Here is a 19,975-nt window from a genome sequence, read left to right as displayed (position 1 = left end):
AATTTCTAAGGGAGAAATCCTGCCAAGCTTGTTAATCTCATGCAGATGTATATATGTATATATACATATGTGTATATATGTATATGTGTATATATATGTGTGTGTGTGTGTGTATATATATATATATATATACAGCCTTAAAAAGAAGGCAATCTTGCCATTTGTTTCAACATGGATAAAACTGGAGGATATTATGATAAATGAAATAAACCAGACACAGAAAGACAAATACTACCTGAGTTCACTTAAATGTGGAATCCAAAAAGTCAAACTCATGGAAACAGAGTAGAAGGGCTGTTGTCAGGGGCCAGGGAGTGGAGGGAAATGTGAGATGTTGGTCACAGGGTACACACTTTCAGTTCTAAGATGAATAAGTTCTGAGAATCTAATGCACAGCATGGCGACTACAGTTGATAATAATGTATTGTATACTTGAAATTTGCTAAGAGAAAATCTTATGTATTCTCACTACAAAAGAAAAGGTAACTATGTGGGGCAATGAATATGTTAATTCACTTGATTGTGGTGATCATTTCACAATGTATGTGTATATCCAAATATATTCTGATGTGTAATTTAAATGTATACAATTTTTATTTGTTAATTATACCTCAATAAACCTAAGGAAAAAGGATTGGATTCCAGGACCATTCTGCTGTTAGCTGTGTGGATTTGAGATTCTGCATTCAATCTACACATTTATATCCAAAAAAGGTTGGACTGGAAAAATACTTGCCCTATAGTGTCCCCAGATACACTGGGGTCTCCCAGAAGTGCCTCTTGGCTTTATCAGCTAGGTTATCAGGTTAGGAATTCATGCCTCCCAACCCAACTTCAACCGGAGCTGTTCTGTTTTAATCCGCTGTATACACCAGGATTCTGCATAATGCTTAACTGGGAAAAAAACAGTCCTACTGTTAAAACAATAGCAACAAAACAAAATATTTGAAATCCACTGGAGTAATTAATCTCAGGTGCTTGCTGGCTCCTTCTCTCTGTGAGATATTAGAGAGTAGGGAGGCCATTCTGGTGCCTTTCAGATCCTATCAGGCAGTTCTGATCTTGTCTGGATCAGCCTGTGTTATTGGGATCAGCCTGCATTATTGAAGCTACCTACCACACGGAGTCTTAGAGGAATCATTCTCCCCACTTTGAGGGCTTTCTAGGCCATAGGCAATCCAGGATTCTAGATCCAATCAGAAAGATATGGATGAAATAAATTTTTTGCAATTTTCCCTATGGCCGAGACCCACTGTGAAAAAGTTCTGGGATGGTGTGAGGATCTGACTCAACAAATATTCATTGAACATCAAATATAGGCTACACATTAGCTTGGTACTGCTAGGTTTGAGCTGATATTTGTCATTTTGTTTTTGTTGTTGTTGTTATTATTATTTGTTGTTGTTGTTATTATTATTTATTGTTGCTTTTCCATACCTAATTCAGAAACTCCAGTTCCTACAACTTTATAGAGTAAGAAAATGTAGGGGTTAATGTCCTTTCCCCTGCTCTACATATTTCCATTGAATTCTTCCAACCTCTATTTAGCACTAACTGAATGTCCAATACTGAGCTAGGTACGGAGATAAATAGAAGAAAAGTTTAAAAGATATGGTCCCTGTCTTCAAGGATTTAGAGTGTATCGAGGAGAAAAAAAAACTTCCACACACAACACCATCAGGTAACAAAGGGAGAGTGCTAAATTAGCTACAACCACCTGCCAAAGGTGTGGTACTGACACTAAATCTGCTTGGTAGTTTGAAAAGGGCAAGATCAAAGCGAGCTGGAGTTTTGGGGTCAGGGGTGGGATTTGATCTGTTTATTGAAGGGCTAGAAAGATTTGGACATAAAGAGAGAATGGCTCCTTATAGGAAAAGGGGAAAAATCAGAAGATAAGCACAAGGGACCCTAAGGAGACTGGCTGCCTTGGAGCAAAAGCTTACTATGTCAAACAGCCTAGACACCTAGCCACTGCCATCATGTTAGTGGAGGTTGCTGGTCAAGTGACTTCTCTGTCCTGGATCTCAACTCTTCAATTTCCAATGAAAATTAGCTCCCGGGCTCCTATTTATCTTAAAGATGCATCTCCATTTAAATGTGTTTAATGCTTGCAACATGCTCAGTGTTCACTACCTGTGAGAGAGGCACACATTATTATTACCATAATCATCATTTACCACCTGCTTGCCTCACTTGAACCCATTACTCATTGCCATCCCTCTCCCAGGGGGAACCCTTCGTCACCTCTCAGGGTTCATATACCTGCTTTTTGGGAGATAAATTTACTAAATTATCAATTTTACAGTGATCCCTTTCAAACACTTGGGGAACTTGAAATGGAGAGTGGTATTTGACTGGATTCCTCAATAACTATGCTTGCTTTGAGAAGCTGATGGTGTTTGAGAGTGGGTCAGTGTCCTTTCAAAGTCAGTAAAAGAAAACATCCCACAGAGTGACTTAGGAAACATAAGATCCAAAATATCTTCCAAAGTAGGGGTCTTCTCACAAGAGAACAATCTCCCACATTTTCCTGTTTCTCCCACGTTCTCCTTTTCTTAAGCTAGCGATGATAATCTGGGAATAAATACACATTTTCTAAGGGAGAAATCCTGCCAAGCTTGTTAATCTCATGCAGATGTGATGATACTTTTACTATGTTGTAATATGGCTTCTTAAAAAACAAGTTGGAAGGAGGGGGGGAAAAGCCCACCAAAAAACAACAAATATTCACCAACCCATATGGTCAGTAATTGCTGTTTAATAGTCCTCCTATTACAAACCTAAGAGGCAGCAGTCTGAATTACCAGTAGAGTATTAATAAACAGGAATGAGTTAATAGTGCATAAAGACCTTCTAGTGGAACAGTGGGGGAGTTGAATATTCTTTTCTTCAGTCAGCTGTAAGTAATTACTGCATGGTGTGCTTCTGACTATTACCATAACAGAGCAATTGGACGTGAAGAATGGATAATAGTATGGACATGGAGGTATTTTTAGAATATCAGCAGTGAAGCAGGTAACTGGCCTACTCCAGTAGAAACCTTTAAATAAGTTTCGAAGACTTATTTTTTTTTCCTTATGACATTTAGCCATGGTAGAATTTTAAAAAGATCAATCTAATACATTATTTAAAATAACTTTACAAAGAGGATGCCTGTGATATGTAAATAAGAAGCCAAGAAGGGAGGAAGGAAAAGCCTAAAAAGCCCAGGCGGACACGAGGCATGAGCCGACGTTACTGTAACTACATAATCACAGGTTCCCTCCTGCTCCTCGGAGACACAGCCTTCCTCTGCCTGGATGCCCAATCTGCTTGACTGGCTCCCACTGGCTGCTCAGGTGAAAGTGAAAATATTCAAATCAGAGCTGTAACTATGATTGCTGGAGTTGTGGGTTTTCTAAAATTGAGTTAGTCATCCTCAGTGATTTAATGATGCATATCATTTATTTTAAAATATTATTACAGGGGCATTGACTGAGCTGCGGCTCCTTTTTCAAGGGACTGTCCATTATGCAATGCGGCAGGGTATGTCATGGATGGCGGCAGGCTGAGATATTGTCTAACAGCACAACATATGTTCTCAGATGAAAACAGCTTGAGACTTTGATTCAGAAAGCGGTAACTTTGTAAATGCACACAAATATCATTTAAGGAATATTTTGATTTTTTTTTTCAGGGTATAGGTCCTTTTCCTGCCTCCTGACTGCACAGGCCGAAGCTGATTTTTCAATTTGCAGGTTTGTTAAGCATCATGGAATGTTTTGGTTCTCAATCAAGAATATTCTTCCCAAGTGGTTCCAAAGTCCTACGCTTGAAAATAAACGCGTGTCCTCTTTGTCTCCTAGCAGCATGTGTTCCAATGTACAATAGCAGCACAGGACGGAGCAAGGCATTGCCTTTTATTGAACCACCCTATAGGTTTTTAACCTGCCACTCTCAGGGGCTGCAAGCTTTCTTAAAGCCAGGCGGCATGCTCTCTTCTTTGGGCGGCACTGGCAGCTGGAGTCCAACGGGGGTGGTTAGGAGCCAGGACCCAAGTCCTCCTCCTGGCAGGATTCCTGTCTTACGTTGTGGCACAGGAGCTGAACAGAGGATAAGCCACCCCAGTGCTAATGACCTCAGAGTCCCACCTGAAAAGAAGAAGCACAACCTATGGGACAGGTGGCAATGCTTAACTGATCTCTGCCCACCCCTTTGAAGTCCTCTGACAAACAATTGTGTGTGAAATAAACACTGTCACACTTATTTTTCCTGAAAAAAACACATTATTGTGTCTGAGCTCCACCAGCCAGCATATTCTGATTCACCTAGACACAGCCCCTTGCTTGCTAAAAGATGCTGCAGTGGAAATATACAGCTGTGTATTTCACCTATTTAGCTGGTGATTCTTAATAGAAGTCAAGGGCACACCTGTAGAGGTGTTATGGCGACCCAGGGAGAACCACAGTTTCTCTATATTGCTGGTTTAGGTTTTCTTTTTTTCATGTTTTTGAAAATAGAGTAGTTCCCTTTTCCATAAGTCTACAGGAAGATGAGGACAAAAGAAAATCTGGCTAATTAAATGCCAATTTTAAACAAAATTTTTCACATTGAACAAAGATCAAAGGTCATTTCTAGAAAGTGCTCATGACCTCTTATTTTAAGGCATTTTAGTGTTTAGAGCATTTGTGTTTCTAATTCAGTAAAATTTTGAGGTTTGTACAACTCTCTTTCTGTGTGACCACACTATTTATGGTGATGAGTATGTCCCATTTAAATATATTCTGCATCTCCTATTAATCCTGAAGTTCCCAAGGGCATGGGATGGACCTCTGGGTTTTACACCCAGAGTTGATACCATATCCAAAGGACCAGTACAAAAACTTCCCTAGGAAATGATACCACCAACAACCAGAACTGTTACTGTTTCATACCTAGAGAACCTTCTTGGGAGTAGAGAATAAGAGAATTCTCCTGAGTGAAACTAAGAGGGAGAAGCGGGGCTCCAACACCTTTATATTTCCATTTAGCTCCGAGAAGCCCAGGGAAAAAGAAATACCTGGAACTGCTAAGAAGCTGAGCAGTTTCAGCGGCTACCAATTTATCTCTTCAGTATTTCAGCTGGCAACTCTCTAGTCAAGAATTCTTAGTATTTTCAGGTTTTCCATTGAAACAACTTAGCAGGCCAAAACTCCAAAAAGAACCAGCGAAAAGGTAAATTATTGAATCGATTACACAACTCGACCATTATGAAACTTTCCAGAGTGGTTGAATTCAGCTACCCTATTCATGGGCTATCATGACAACCATTAGGACTCACAAAAATCTTTTTTATTTCTTCAGCATTTGGTAAATAATCCTCTGAAATGTGCACTTATGTAATATTGCAAATAATAATGATAATAAAAGTTCTAAATAATTTGGCCTCTACTTCCTCATTGGTTTCATCTCCTACCATCCTCTCTGTGGTTTTATTTCAGTTCTTCCATCACCCTGAGCTTATCTCTGCATCTAGGTCTTTTCATTGTCTGTTTCCTCTGCATAGAATGCATTCAACCTCAGTTAAAATGTCATCTCAACAAACTATTCTTAGTGGTTTTCCAAGCATTCTCTAGACCCGCTTTACTTTCCTCACAATTTATACTAGCTGATGTTTTCTTGTTTGTATATATGCTAGATTGAACTCCTTAATTCTTGACTCCTTCATGCTATAATATACATATCATTTGACATGTCACTGTGAGTAGAAAATATTCCTACCTGATTGCAATTAGGCTTAGTCATGTGACTTGCATTGGTTAATTAAATGTTGGCAGTCATCATGAGAATAGTCTTCAGATATGCCATGTGTCTTGCTTGGATCCTGGTGCTTCTGCCTTTCCCTATTAGAGAAATAGACCCTAGGTAGTCAGTTTTTGAAGAAGAGTGAAGAGACTTTTAGGACAAATCTGAACCTAATCTGAGTCTTGGAACCAAGTCTCCCTATGACCTAAAGTAGCACTGTTTCAGCCAACCCATGAGACCATTAGCAAGGAAATAAATACTTGCTTATGCCACTGAGTTTTGGGTTTGGGTGTGAGGTTTGTTATATATTCTACTTGTGGCAATTGCTAGTTAACATTGAAACTCTACCAAAAATGGGCTTCTGCTGTCAAAAAATATTAAAACGTGTCATTAGTTTGGGATCACCTGGTAAGAAGAGAAGAAACTATTATTTAAAAAGTAATAGCTAGGAAAATGAAAACCCATATTATGCAGTACCAAAACATTTGATAAAACTGTTGACTACAATAATCTGGAAGGCAGAAAGTGTACTAAATGTACTTGTAGCTTTGAGCCGGGAAGTTTTGGGGGCAAAATATTTATAGTATGAATTGGCTGTTGTTGTCTGCATTTATTAAGTTACTACAAGAAAAATATAAGCTTAGAAAAGAATTGACTGACTTGCAAATAAGATTGAGTGAAACTGAGAGAACCCCCAAATTCTGGAAATTATCAGTTTGAAAATTAAACCATTTCTCTCTATAGATAACATTGCCATTAGAACATCGCCATAAGGTAAGATAAAGATAAAATCAAGAAAATAGTTGTCACACCCATTGGTAAGATTCCTGAAAAAAGGGTGGAGCGTGGTGGCTCACACCTGTAATCCCAGCACTCTGGGAGGCCAAGGCAGGTGGATTGACTGAGCTCAGGATTTCCAGACCAGCCTGGGCAACATGGTGAAATCCCGTGTCTACTAAAATACAAAAAATTAGCCAGGAGTGGTGGCGTGCGCCTGCAGTCCCAGCTACTCGGGAGGCCGAGGCAGGAGAATTGCTTGAACCTGGGAGGTGGAAGTTGCAGTGAGCCAAGATCATGCCACTGCACTCTAGCCTGGCCAACAGAGTGAGACTCCATCTCAAAAAAAAAAAGATAGAAAAAGACTCCTGAAAAGATTAAGGAGACTGAGGGTGCATCTCACAGATGCCTAATACATGCAAATTACCTACTTATAGCTAGAAAAGAACCTGTCTCTAAAAGAATTATGGTTGAGGCATTTGGCCCATTGTAGTTGACTGGAAGCAAACAGAAAGTTCACAGAGTTTTTGAGAGAGCTGTATTGGCAAGATTACCACCAGCCTGGATTTTAAAAATTATGTCTGTTGGAAATATATAAGAATCTCTGAGACCCCAAGATTTTTCAGACAGGAAGCAGGCTGAGAAATCTGCTCAGCTACCAAGAGGACATATTCTCCTCTACTCATCAGAAAGCCAAAAATGAAAAAGGAAGGAGTTCCAAGACAAGAACAAAGACTCATGTACAACAGTAGACTGGGGATAAACTCCCAGGTACAGAAACAGGGCTTAACCAAAATATCTGCCAACATCCTTGTAGGAGACCCTGGCAAAATTTGTTCAGCAGAGTTTCAAAATTTCTATATACCAGTTATTCTGTGTTTCTCCCAATTGTCCCCTTGTTGAATGCAGCTGTTTGTTTGTTCTGTTTATATTCCAGCATGGGACATTAGATGTGTGGGGGCAGATAACATATCTTTTCAGTTCATAGAGGTCCAGATCAAGAGAAGTTCCATCCAGACCTGACATGGATCATGAGATCCTGGACTTTGAACTCAATGCCATAATTGGGTGAAACTTTGTGGGTTTCTTGGAATGGCCATTAATATGTCTCAGGTGCAGAAGGAACATGAATTGTGAACAAGAGAGACAACTGTGATTGAAAGATTGAGTTATTATTAATACTTTTAATCTTCATTCTCTTTCTATTATAAAATTATACATTACCTTTTTTCCTATGTAACTTGCAGTTTTTTCCAATATGTGTGAAAAATACTCCCTTGATCCACTCATATTGGGCTTGGCATGTGAATTGTCTGAGTTAAAGAAATGTTAGTAAATGCGACAGAAGCAGAGATTTAGACTTGTTGTCATGATCTGGCTTGTTTTCTTTTTTTTTTTTTTTTTTTTTTGAGACGGAGTCTCGCTCTGTCGCCCAGGCCGGACTGCGGACTGCAGTGGCGCAATCTCGGCTCACTGCAAGCTCCGCTTCCCGGGTTCACGCCATTCTCCTGCCTCAGCCTCCCGAGTAGCTGGGACTACAGGCGCCGGCCACCGCGCTCGGCTAATTTTTTGTATTTTTAGTAGAGACGGGGTTTCACCTTGTTAGCCAGGATGGTCTCGATCTCCTGACCTCATGATCCACCCGCCTCGGCCTCCCAAAGTGCTGGGATTACAGTTGTGAGCCACCGCGCCCGGCCATCTGGCTTGTTTTCTTGCACTCCTACACTTCCCCACAAGAAGAACATGCTCCAGATAGCTGGTCTAGGGAGACTGAAGAAACAAGAGGAGCAGATCTGATCCCAACTGACGGTTTAGAGCCAAGATAAGCAAAACTCTGCTAGGGTCAGTCCCCTTCTAGCTAACCCACAGAACTGTTATTGAGATGAATGTTTGATGTTGCAATTCAGAGATTTAGAGTTGTTTGTTTCGTAGCATTATTGTAGTATAAATGCTAATTGAAACCATTTGTTTGTTTGTTGCTTGCTCCCTCATGAGAATGTAATTGTAAGCTCTATTTTAAAAAGGAAGAGTTCAAGACTAGCCTGGGCAACACCATGAGACCCCATATTTACAAAAACTAAATTAAAAAAAAAAATTAGCTAGGTGCAGTGGCACACACCTGTAGCCCCAGCTACTCGGGAGGCTGAGGTAGGAGGATCACTTGAGCCCGGGAGATCAAGGGAGCAATGAGCCGTGATCGCATCATTGCACTCCAGTCTGGGTGGAAGAGTGATATCCTGTCTCAAAAATAAATAAATAAATAAAAATAAATAAGAAACTTTTTAAACTTTGTTCATCTATGTATTCCAGTGGGTAGAAACATTCTTGGTGTACAGTCATTGAATAAGTATTTTAAAAAGGAAAAATGTAATATATAGTAAGAAACTACCAATTAAACATTAACTATATATTAGAACTCTGGGCATATAATTTACTGAAAACACAGTTAAATTTATAGTGGGTAAAGAAGAATGGAAAAACAACAAAAAACAAAAAAAGAAGAATGACATACCTATAAGAAAATAAGCCATTTGAAGTTATTTACAAGAAAGCATTAAAGATATGCTGGGGTGACGTCACAGATAATCTGGTGTAGAAACCACTGGACTGACTGGCATAGTGAGTGCACCGGGTTGAGTAAAGTGCATTACTGTTGGGATAGTGATCCTGTCGTCTCTGTATCTGCAGTTCCAGCACAGAGTAGGCTCTCAATACATGTATGTCGAAATAAATTGACTTTCAGAGCCCATAGATGCTTTTTTTCTTTTCTTTTCTTTTCTTTCTTTTTTTTTTTTTTGTGGTTTGAAAGAGCAGAAAGTTTAATAGGCAAGAAAGACAGAAAAAGCTCCCCGTACAAAAACAGAGGGAGGGGGACTCCAAGCAGAGAGAGAAAACCCCCTTAAAGATGCTTGTATACCCTTCTTGGCTATTGGATATGGACGATATTAAATTATACCAGAAAATAATGCAGGCTTTTGCCTAAGGCTTCGTTCAGCAGAAGACTATCTGACTTGGGAGGAGCTTAGTTATGCCTTTGGGGTCAACCTTGGAGAACATGGAGAAATCTGTTATCTTTCCGCAGATGAAAAGGCAGGAATTCTACAGATACTCTTAACAGAACTCATGTTTTAGCCTTTTGTATTCTCTAAGTCAACCCATTTTAGTTTCCTATTCTTCATTAGCAATTCTTTCCTTTAACCCAAATGTTGTATCCTTCATTTAATGCAGCAATTGAACTGAACAGTTTATTTACCATCTAACATTACCCAACCTCTATTATGGACTACATATTATGCTAAATCCTGGGAACATAATGTTTGAAAAAGACAGTTCTTCTGCCAAGGTGACTATTGAAGAAATAAAGACAAATAATCTGATTGTGTGGTTTCAAAGTAAGTGCTACAATTAAAACTTCATCATAAGAACACAAAACTAGAATATCCAAATGATACCAAGGGGACAACAAAAATTGAATTTGAAGTATATGGAGGAGGGATAATGAGGTGAGAGAAATTACCCTAACATGTTTTTGTTGATGTTTATAGGAAAGGTGTCTCCATCATATGAAAATAAATACCTGTACCAGTGTATCCCTGAAAAATAAGTTACATAGCTGACCAGATATACACTCCACTACTAATGGAAAAGGAAAAAGAGGTGTTTGTTGAGTCCCCAAAGACTCTTTTCTGGAGTATGGTATGCATACCTTACCATAGTTTCAAGAAAACTGATGAAATGAGAAGGAAACACTAACCAGCAATTATTCTGGGAAGAAGCGAAAAGCAAAATCTGATTGAAGCAGTTTGTACACTTGTTGAAAGCAAGTGCCTGTTGTTGGTAGTGACTTTTTTTTTTTTTGAAAGGCACTCAAAGTCAGTAAAGAGAGATTTAAAAGCAAAAGCAAATGAAGAAAGTCTGAAATGTAAAAACTAGACCAAACTGTATAATAAAAAAAAAAAAAACAGGGTGGAATTTGGTCTGACATAGTGAGGGTGTGAAGGGAGAAAAGATCATTAGATTCTGGAGCACTTCAAACATTCAAAAAAAAATTCTTGTGGATTGACTGACGAGACAAGATAAGGTGCTCTGAGGCCAATGGTTCAAGAGTTTATGCGGTCCATTTAAAAGTTTTCTGACTTAGTATAGGGCATTTTTTAAGATAGGTGAAAAATATTTAAATTTGTGAACAAGGTGTAAATTCCAAAAATGTATTTATTTTATGCCTGATACTTTTGTTGTTGTTGTGTGTTTGTTTGTTTGTTCGTTTGAGACAGTTTCGCTCCTGTGGCCCAGGCTGGAGAGAAGTGGCACAATCTTGGCTCACTGCAACCTCTACCTCCCAGGTTCAAGCAATTCTCCTGCCTCAGCCTCCCGAGTATCTGGGATTACTGACATCCACTACCACACTCAGCTAATTTTTGTGTTTTCAGTGGAGACAGTGTTTCACCATGTTGGCCAGGCTGGTCTCCAACTCCTGACCTCAAGTGATCCACCCGCCTTGGCTTCCCAAAGTGCTGGGATTTCAGGCGTGACCCACCACACCCAGCTGCCTGATACTTCTTAACTTTTCATATATATTGAAATTGAATTGTACCAATAACATATCAAGTTAGTCTTTTAATGACATTTGTTTTCCCTTATTTCTTTTTATTGATACATAATCGTTGTATATGTTGATGTAGTACATGTGATATTTTGACAAATCCATACAATGTGTAATGATTAAATCTGGGTAACTGGGATATCCATCACTTCAAACTATAATCTTTCCTTTCTGTCAAGAATGTTCCAAAACTTCTCTTCTATCCATTTGAAATATACAATAAATTATTGTTAACTATAGTCACTGTACTGTGCTATTGAACACTAGAACTTATTCTTTCCATCTAACTGTATTTTTGTACCCATTTACCAAATTCTCTTCATCCTGCTCTGCCCTCTACCCTTCCTAGCCTCTGGTAATCACCATTCTACTCTCTACTGACATGAGATCAATTTTTTAACTCCCACATATGAGCGAGAACATGCGATATTTATCTTTCTCTGTCTGGCTTATTTCACTTAACATAATGTCCTCCAGTTCCATTCACGTTGCTGCACATGACAGGATTTCATTTTTTAAAAAATTAGTAAATAGTGTTTCATCATGTATACAGGCCAAATTTTTAAATCCATTCATCTATTGATAGACATTTAGGTTGATTCTTTATCTTGGCTATTATGAAGGTGCTGCGTTAAACATAGGAATTCAGATATCTCTTCAATACACTGATTTTCTTTCTTTTAGATATATACCCAGAAGTGGGATTTCTGGATCATGTAGTAATTCTAGTTTTAGTTTCCTAAGGAACCTCCATAATGTTATCCTTAATGGTTGTAGTAATTTACATTACCATCCACAGTGTGCACGAGTTGACTTTTCTCTGCATCCTGACCAGCATGTTACTTTCTGTCTTTTTGACAATAGCCATTTTAACTATGATAAGATGAGACCTCATTGTGGTTTTGACTTGCATGTTCATGATGATTAGTGATGTTGAGCATTTTTTTTCCTATAGCTGTTTGCCATTTGTATGTCTTCTTTTGAGAAATGTCTATTCAGATCATTTGCTTATTGAATTATTTGGTTTATTTAGCACTGAGTTGTTTCATTTCCTTATGTATTTTGGTTATTGGATAGATAGTTTGCAAATATTTTCTGCCATTCTGTAGGTTATCTCTTCATTTTGTTGATTGTTTCCTTTACTGTGCAGAAGTTTTTTAGCTTGATGTGATCCCTTTTCTCTGATTTTGCTTTTGTTGCCTGTGCTTTTGAGGTTTTACTCAAAAAATCTTTGTCCAGATTCTCCAATATTTTCTTCTAGTAGTTTTATTGTTTCAGGTCTTACCTTTAAGTCTTTAATCCATTTTGATTTTATTTTTTATATGGTAAGATGATCTAGTTTCATTCTTCTGCATATAGTTATCCAGTTTTTTGGGGGCACCATTTATTGAAGAGTCTCTCCTTTACCCAATGTATGTTCTTGGCGCCTTTGTCAAAAATGAGTTGGCTGTAAATGCATGGATTCATTTCTGGGTTCTCTGTTCTTTTCCATTGGTCCATGTGACTGCTTTTATGCCAGTATCATGCTGTTTTGATTACTATCACTTTGTGGTATGTTTATAAGTCAGGTACTGTAAAGTCTCTAGCTTTATTCTTTTTGTTCAAGATTACCTTGTCTAATCAAGGTGTTTTATGGTTCTATATTAATTTTATGATTCTTTTCCATTTCCGTGAAGAATGTCATTGGTATTTTGATAGAGACTGCATTGAATCTGTAGACTGCTTTAGGTAGTTTGGGCATTTTAACAATATTAGTTCTTCCAATCCATGAATATAGGATATTTTTTCATTTTTATGTCCTCTTTAATTTTTTTCTCAATGTTTTATAGCTTTCTTTGCAGAGATCTTTCACTTCTTTTGTTAAAATTTTCATTCTCTCTTTATTATTCCAGTCCAGTTATTCCTCCTACTGTCCAGGAGGCCTATGCAGATGCAACTTTCTAATTGAAAATCTTATTCTAATATTTCCTAAAAGGATCTTATTTCTCATGTACGTATATGTCCTTTGTGAAAAAGATAATTTTAGTAGGAGAGCATATGATCTAGACAACTTTTCTTTCAAGGGACACATTAATAGGGACTCTACCATTTTTTAAATTAATTGAGATATAAATTATAAAAAGTCATAGATAATTCCCTCCCAACCACAAATTCTAACAGACAAACTATAAATAATTTTATGATTCTTCTGACTGAAGCCAAAGACAAATCACAGAAAGGTACACATAGATAGATGGCATGATGATATCCTCTTCTTTATTTTTAGTATTTTAAATCATCACCACACTTCATAATTGTTATTTTCTACTCTCTTCCTTTGGGTCTTTTTAGTCATCTTTGGTTTTTTTGTGTGCAAGAAAACAAAATGTAAGTGAAAATAAATAGGGAGGAGAAAAATACCTTAAATAGAAATTGCCTAGTTGAAAGTAACTTGTATTGTTACATACATGGTTGTATTCGATCTTTAAAGCAAATTTGGTAGGATAGGGAAGAGAGGTAGCTCACCAGAGCAGACAAGATGATGGTCTTTTAGTGATAAATGATGGACTAGAGGGCTGGGCGCAGTGGCTTACGCCTGTAATCCCAGCACTTTCGGAGGCCGAGGTGGGCAGATCACGAGGTCAAGTATTCGAGACCAGCCTGACCAACATGGTGAAACCCTGTCTTTAAAAATACAAAAATTAGCTGGGCGTGGTGGCATGCGCCTGTAATCCCAGCTACTCAGGAGGCTAAGGCAGGAGAATCACTTGAAACTAGGAGGTAGAGATTGCAGTGAGCCGAGATTGCACCACTGCACTCCAGCCTGGGTGACAAAGCAAGACTCCGTCTCCAAAAAAAAAAAAAAAAAAAAAAGATGGAAAGATGGATTAGGTCTCCAAAAAAAAAAAAAAAAAAAAGATGGAAAGATGGATTAGAATCCCATTCCACTGTATGGCTCAGTTTGCATCACTCCCTGTAAAACAGGCATAATAATGCCTACTTCATAGGTTTGCTGTGGGGATTAAGTGAAAGAAAATAAAAGCCTTGGTACACAGGACCAAATAAATAAGTCTATACATAGCAGCTAGGATTAGTATTACAAAGGTGTTACTAGGTTTTTCTGCTTGCCACCTGAGAAACTGAGATAGAAAGAAGTTAACAGACATGCGTGTCCCAGAAGCATGCCTAACCATGCTGCCAACCACTCCGAGAAGACATTTTTTTAAGCTTTTAACCTTCAGAGACAAGTTGTATTTACCACTTCTGAGAAAAAAATTAAAATTCCCTTAGAAAAACATATATTGATGCCATTTTAATGAAATGGTTAAGTATCTTTATAACAAATGTGTCAATCCAGTTGCAATATTTCAAAAATATAGAGTCACAGTCTAAGCATTGGCAAAGCCTTGAAAGGTCGAACTCTACACAGTGGCCTGTAGTGGTCTCTCCCACCCTATCCTCATCCTTGCTAGCCAACTCTTACCTTACCTTAATGACATAATTAAATGACTATAAAGTTCCATAACTCTTGCTCCTTTAATTAACTGGAGGAAAACCTCTTATCTTCTCAATGTTGAAGATTCTGCTGTTTCACTTTGAATGGTATTGTTCCGTCTCCTTTGTAAAACTGTGAGGAGAACTTATTATTTTAAATAAATAAATGTGAATTTTAGTGGAAACATAAACTTTCCATTAGCTATAGAAATCATCTCTAAAATTGGTTCCATATATCCACCTGTTAATTTTCACTAAAGGTTGTTGTAGATAGCAAATATAAAGTTAATAAGCACCAAAATCACTGAGCCATATAATTCTCTTGAAAATTTTTCTGGACTCAGGAGGTGCAGCAGCACTAAAACACTTCTACAGAGGCTCGAGTTCTTCATAAAGAAAAAGTGTGAACTTGGGACAAGATACAAAATACACATTACGCATTTTAGAAAAGTTTCTTAAAATCTCTTCCATTGTTCCTTTGATCCTCCATTAATTTAACAGCTCTCGTTCTGGCAGGAGTTGAAATGATCTTAACAGATACACAATGTGGGATGGTCACATAAAAAGAACTCAGTGATGCCACCCAGCTAGGAAGAGGAAGGTGCAGAATTTATATTCTGTAGATTGACCTCACTTCCCAAGTGGCATGGGCAAGATTAGGAAATTTCTTTATACCCCTCAAAGAGAGGACTTAGGAGAGGCTGAGTTAAGTGTCATGAGTTTGGCAGGGGACCAGCCCCCTATGATAAACGGCAAAGGGCCTCCTCAGCAAACACTCTGGGAGGACTGTTAAAGATTGTTTGCCACTACATGGCAGAGACACAAAACACATCAGCAAAAACTGAGATGAGTCAGAGGCATCTGGGTATTATCTGAGAGTACTGACCACACAATGGGCCAGCAGGTCCCCAGTCAAACCTACTGTTAATGCCTGTGGAGCAAAGAACAGCCAGGCAGAGGAGAGACCTTGCTACAGAGAAACCCCAGGGTCAGAGGCAGGGCATGGACCTAAGCATCCTCTTCTCCCCTCGTGGAGACAGAACAAGGGATGTGGCTTAGGGCTGGGCAGGTTGTGCTCACAAAAATGTGCCCCACAAGGTGCACACTGGAGGAAGGGAGATTTTTTGGCATTAGTCAACACAGAAGTGTGGACTTTTTTAGTCTTTTTGTAATCCACTGTAAGTTTAAGTCTCTGGTAGCTACAGCCCTGTCTCTCAGACAGCAGGGCACCATCTTGAGAAAGGGAAAAGTGGGCTAGGAGAGCAATCTGAACCACTATGCATTTTCCTAAAGAGACTAAATCTTTGAAAGATGCCTCTGTAAACCATCATAACTTTGAATGGACTGAACGTTAAAGTGAAAGAAGACTTACAAAGCAGAAGAGACTAAAATGTTGCCAAAGGAGAGTAAGTTGTTTTTGCAGTTCAGTAAAGTGGTAGTGCATGGGCCAGGTCACAGTTTTTATAAATTATAGGGCAGCATTTATTTTCTGCATATCTGAGTACAGCATAAAGCAATTTACAACTCTGTCGTGCATGCGTGTGTGTGGTATGTGTGTGTGTTTAAGATAAGACTAGAGGATTGTAACTCTAAACATAATCATGTTTTTGAATGCATACTGGTATTATGGATGTTTATATTTTCAACTTTTGACTTTCACATCCTTCAATTTTTCTGTGATGAGCATGTATTAGCATTTTAAAATCAAAGCTGGATAAATGTTATTTTAAAATAATTTGTGTATCTCTTCCAGTTGTTTTTGTCTAAATCCCAACTCTTTTGCAAAATATGAGAAGCATTTGGTCAGTCAGTCCTTTTCCAGTTCAACTCTAAAATTTGATTTATATTTTTTTAACTTTTTTTTTTTTTTACTCATAAATCCTTTTTAACTTTGCTCTGTTTTAATCCCTTTATTTCAAAGATCACATCGTATCTCCTTTTTTCTCTCAAAATTTCAAAATGGCCTTTGGCCAAATGCAATAAAATTTTGCCCTGACCTGACATAAAGAATGAAGTATGTATATGAAAGCACTTTGAAAACTTTAAAGGACTTTAAAAATGCATGGTGGTATTGGTGGTGGGAAGAAAAAGGGGTGGGAGAAGAGGGGGAGGAAACCATAAGAGGAGGAACTATGTTGTATTTTCTCATAACATAAATTTTGAAGCCTTTCCTGAATGAATTTGCAAACAGAAGCAAATGGAGTCCTTATGCGACATTCTTGAATGCTCGCAATTTTATAAATTCAATCCCACACCCTAGGCAACATGGTACACCCCTTCAGGTTGACATTTTTCTCTGTCATTTACTGCTGCTGAGTGCAATGGACCTCCTTCACAATTGCCAAAATTACCTCAGAGCTACTGGTCTTCCCGGTGTGAACCCTACGGCCACCTCTTCTACCTATATTGTTAAGAGCTGTGCTAGAAGTGGTTCCTAATTAGGAAAACTTATTTAAATCTGCAAACTGTCTCTAGAGTTTATTTGGGTTTTTTGGTCCTTTGTGTATTTGTTTGACAGATAGGATATTGAGATCCCAGAAGACAGAGAAAGTCTAAGACTACTCTATAAGTTCAGATCTCCTTAGAAACCCTCCCTGCCCCCACCAGGTTAAAGGGATATAATACCTTGACAAATAGTGCATCTTCACTTTCCAGTCTCTTCAGTGTACGCCTAGGCCAGAAAAAATATGCTATAATGGTTAAAAGCATATACTCTGGAGTCAGACAGAATAGATTCAAATCCCACCTCTACTACTTGGTAGTTCTGTGATCTTGGAGAGAATACTTGACCTCTCTTTGCCTTAAATTCCTTATTATAAAACGAGGATTATAAAAGATTCTCTTTCATAGAGTTCCTGACAGATTTCAACGTGTTAATATAAGTGAAGTGCATTCAACAGCATCTGGCACTTACCAAGTGCCTCCCATAAATGCTAATTATTATTATTAGGAAGGGAATCCTCAAGTGTATCCAAAACACCACAAGCCCCTGAGGCTCACATGCTGTCCCCACAAAGTGAGCTAATACTGAGAAGGCCTGGTAACTCTGAGAAAGAAATCCTTCTCCTTGCTCTTCACAGCTCAAGCGTGTATGGTGATGACCTATTTGTGCATGAACAGATGTTTACCGAGCCTTCTGGATTTACTTTGGCAGCAACAGGGTCAGGCTTGTATTGAGTGATCCACCTTTGTGGCTCAGTCAGCTCTGGGATGACTGCACGTGCCTGGTTGTGGTTATGTAACACATCCATCTGGAGTGGGATTCAATGTACTGGTCTTAGGCCTTACAGAAAGGAAGCAAAGAAAAATTCTTACCATGGGAAATAATGTTGAGTTCACAGATTTACTATTTTCCTGCCAGGCTTTTTGAGTACGGACGGCTCTCAAACAGGCATTAAAATGATTGCCATTGGACCATAAAGAAAACCTAGAAAATGTGAGGCACAAAGGTGTGCTTTTACCTACGGAGTCCTTTGCTTGCCTTCCTTTTTTTTGACCAAAGGAGAAATTACAGCTAGGGAGGAGGAAGTAGAAGAATCCCTGGATATATGCTAACAATTCTCAAAAACAGAAGCATTATTTCTAGAGTGTCATTAGCATATCCTGGAAGAGCACCTTTTCTATGACTCCTAGCTTTTATGCGGTTTAGCCAAATCTTCAGCATTCTTAGGTGAATTAATATTCAATGAAATTTTTCATAAGCACGTGAAATTTTTCTGGAAGTTATTTAAAATGGATCAGCCGGCTTGATACCACACCTCACACCTCTGCTCCTAGCATGAATCCATCTCAACGTACACTTTTAAAAAATGCTGGAATTAGTCCTAAGCCACTTTTGCTCTATTTTAATTCATTCGTCAAACAAGTAGTTCCGGGCATTATTTTTCTTGACCATTCTCTCCTCTCCCCATCTCCTCCTTTCTGTTTCTCGTCTCCCACGATGTCAATTTATTAAATGTATATGCTTTAATAGGCTCATAGAAAATAAAGACATTTCCGATTTGTTTTGGAAAGGAGGAATCAGCTTGGATTTCCAGGGTACAGGTCAATCCTCCACCGCACACACTTCCTCCTCCTCCAGGGGCTGCATTTCATCTTCCATCCATCTAGCTAAGGAGAACAGAGGCTTAGGAGCCTCTTTCTGCCTGTACATATTCAGCCAGAGGGGTCACTGGTGATTGATGCAAGACACTACATCCTCCAAGAGCTTTCCAAGTCCCTGCTGGTCCAGAGAGGAGCGTCCAACAGTAACTCACCCTTTAGTGCCTGTGTATTTCTGTGCCTCCAGCTAGAAATAGTCAATAAGCACCAGAGGCAACTTATGTTCCCTTAGATCACAAATAAATGCCTCACACCATCACCTTAGAGCCCTTTCACAAACACTGTTTCTCCACAGATAGATTCCAAGTCCTAGCAGCCAATTACTACTGAGGTGCCTCAAAGGTTTGAAGGAGGAGGCAAGGAGAGAGAAAGGGCTTCTCCAAAGACGAAGAGTTATGTTTCCTTCTAATAAAAATTGCTACCTTTTAGTTGAGTGCTTCCTCTGAGCCAGACACTGGGATGAGGTTTAATCTACATTATCCCACTCATTCCTCACAGCTGTGGGATTCATGAAGCTCTAGCCCATTTGACAGATGAGGACACAGAGGCTCACAGAGCTTATGTAACTCCTACTTTCTGCCTCCCCATTCTCTGGCACACCCCCTCAACTGACCCTTATACATACAGATGCTTGTGGACGTGTGTTATGAAAGCAATTGGAAAATGTTCCCGGATGCCAGGCAAGTCAATTGACTTCTGGGCCTTAGCTTAGGTCCCTGACATTCCTTCTCTTGCATTGAAAAGAGGCTCGCTGTGCTGGTTACTCCACAGGCTGCCAGAAGCATGCCTCGTTATATTCTGCCCATCATCTAGATGTTGTCAACACTTCCAGGGCCTTTCATTTTACTTTAAGGGTGGGTGTCACATATTCTGGCAAGTTCCTTTTGTTTTGTTTAGAGACTGGGTCCTACTCTGACACCCAGGCTGGAGTGCAGCAGTGCAATCATAGCTCACGGCAGCCTCTAAGTCCTGGGCTCAAGCCATCCTCCCTTCTCAGCCTCCTGAGGAGCCGGGACTACAGGCACACCACCACGCCCAGCTGTAAGTTCCTTCTGGTACCACAAAGCGTTGTGTGTTCAACCTGTATAAGGTACTGCGATAGTTTCTGTATAGGTTCAAGGGAGTGGAGTGTTACTTTAAAAACAGACAACACAGTCACAGTCTTCCAGTTATTTTCAATCGTGCAACATTCCATAAAGAATCAGGTCCCCGCTTAAGTGCTAGAAATAAAGAGACGAACATGCCTGAGCCATAGGT

At 39.0% G+C, this 19,975-nt stretch overlaps 1 long non-coding RNA gene across 1 annotated transcript in view, besides 1 other annotated feature; it reads right to left on the bottom strand.

The window, feature by feature from the left end:
- LINC01122 (long intergenic non-protein coding RNA 1122) overlaps nucleotides 1-19,975 on the bottom strand; it is a 543,014-nt gene that overhangs the window by 13,309 nt on the left and 509,730 nt on the right. Inside the window, exon 12 of the long non-coding RNA NR_033873.1 lies at nucleotides 17,243-17,288. This is a non-coding gene — a long non-coding RNA (long intergenic non-protein coding RNA 1122). The remainder of the gene's footprint in view (nucleotides 1-17,242; nucleotides 17,289-19,975) is intronic.
- Nucleotides 8,148-8,297: a silencer, noted in NCBI's record as "fragment chr2:59269296-59269445 (GRCh37/hg19 assembly coordinates)". NCBI's record gives its function as "represses an EF-1alpha promoter that drives an FKBP-Casp9 reporter gene in an ReSE screen in K562 erythroleukemia cells {active_cell/tissue: K562}" and the evidence as "EXISTENCE:reporter gene assay evidence [ECO:0000049][PMID:32094911]".

The sequence above is a fragment of the Homo sapiens genome, chromosome 2 (genome assembly GCF_000001405.40).
Source record: "Homo sapiens chromosome 2, GRCh38.p14 Primary Assembly".
Classification (NCBI taxonomy): Eukaryota; Metazoa; Chordata; class Mammalia; order Primates; family Hominidae; genus Homo; species Homo sapiens.
The sequence above is the reverse complement of the archived record's forward strand: the minus strand, read 5'-3'. Positions and strand labels throughout refer to the sequence as shown.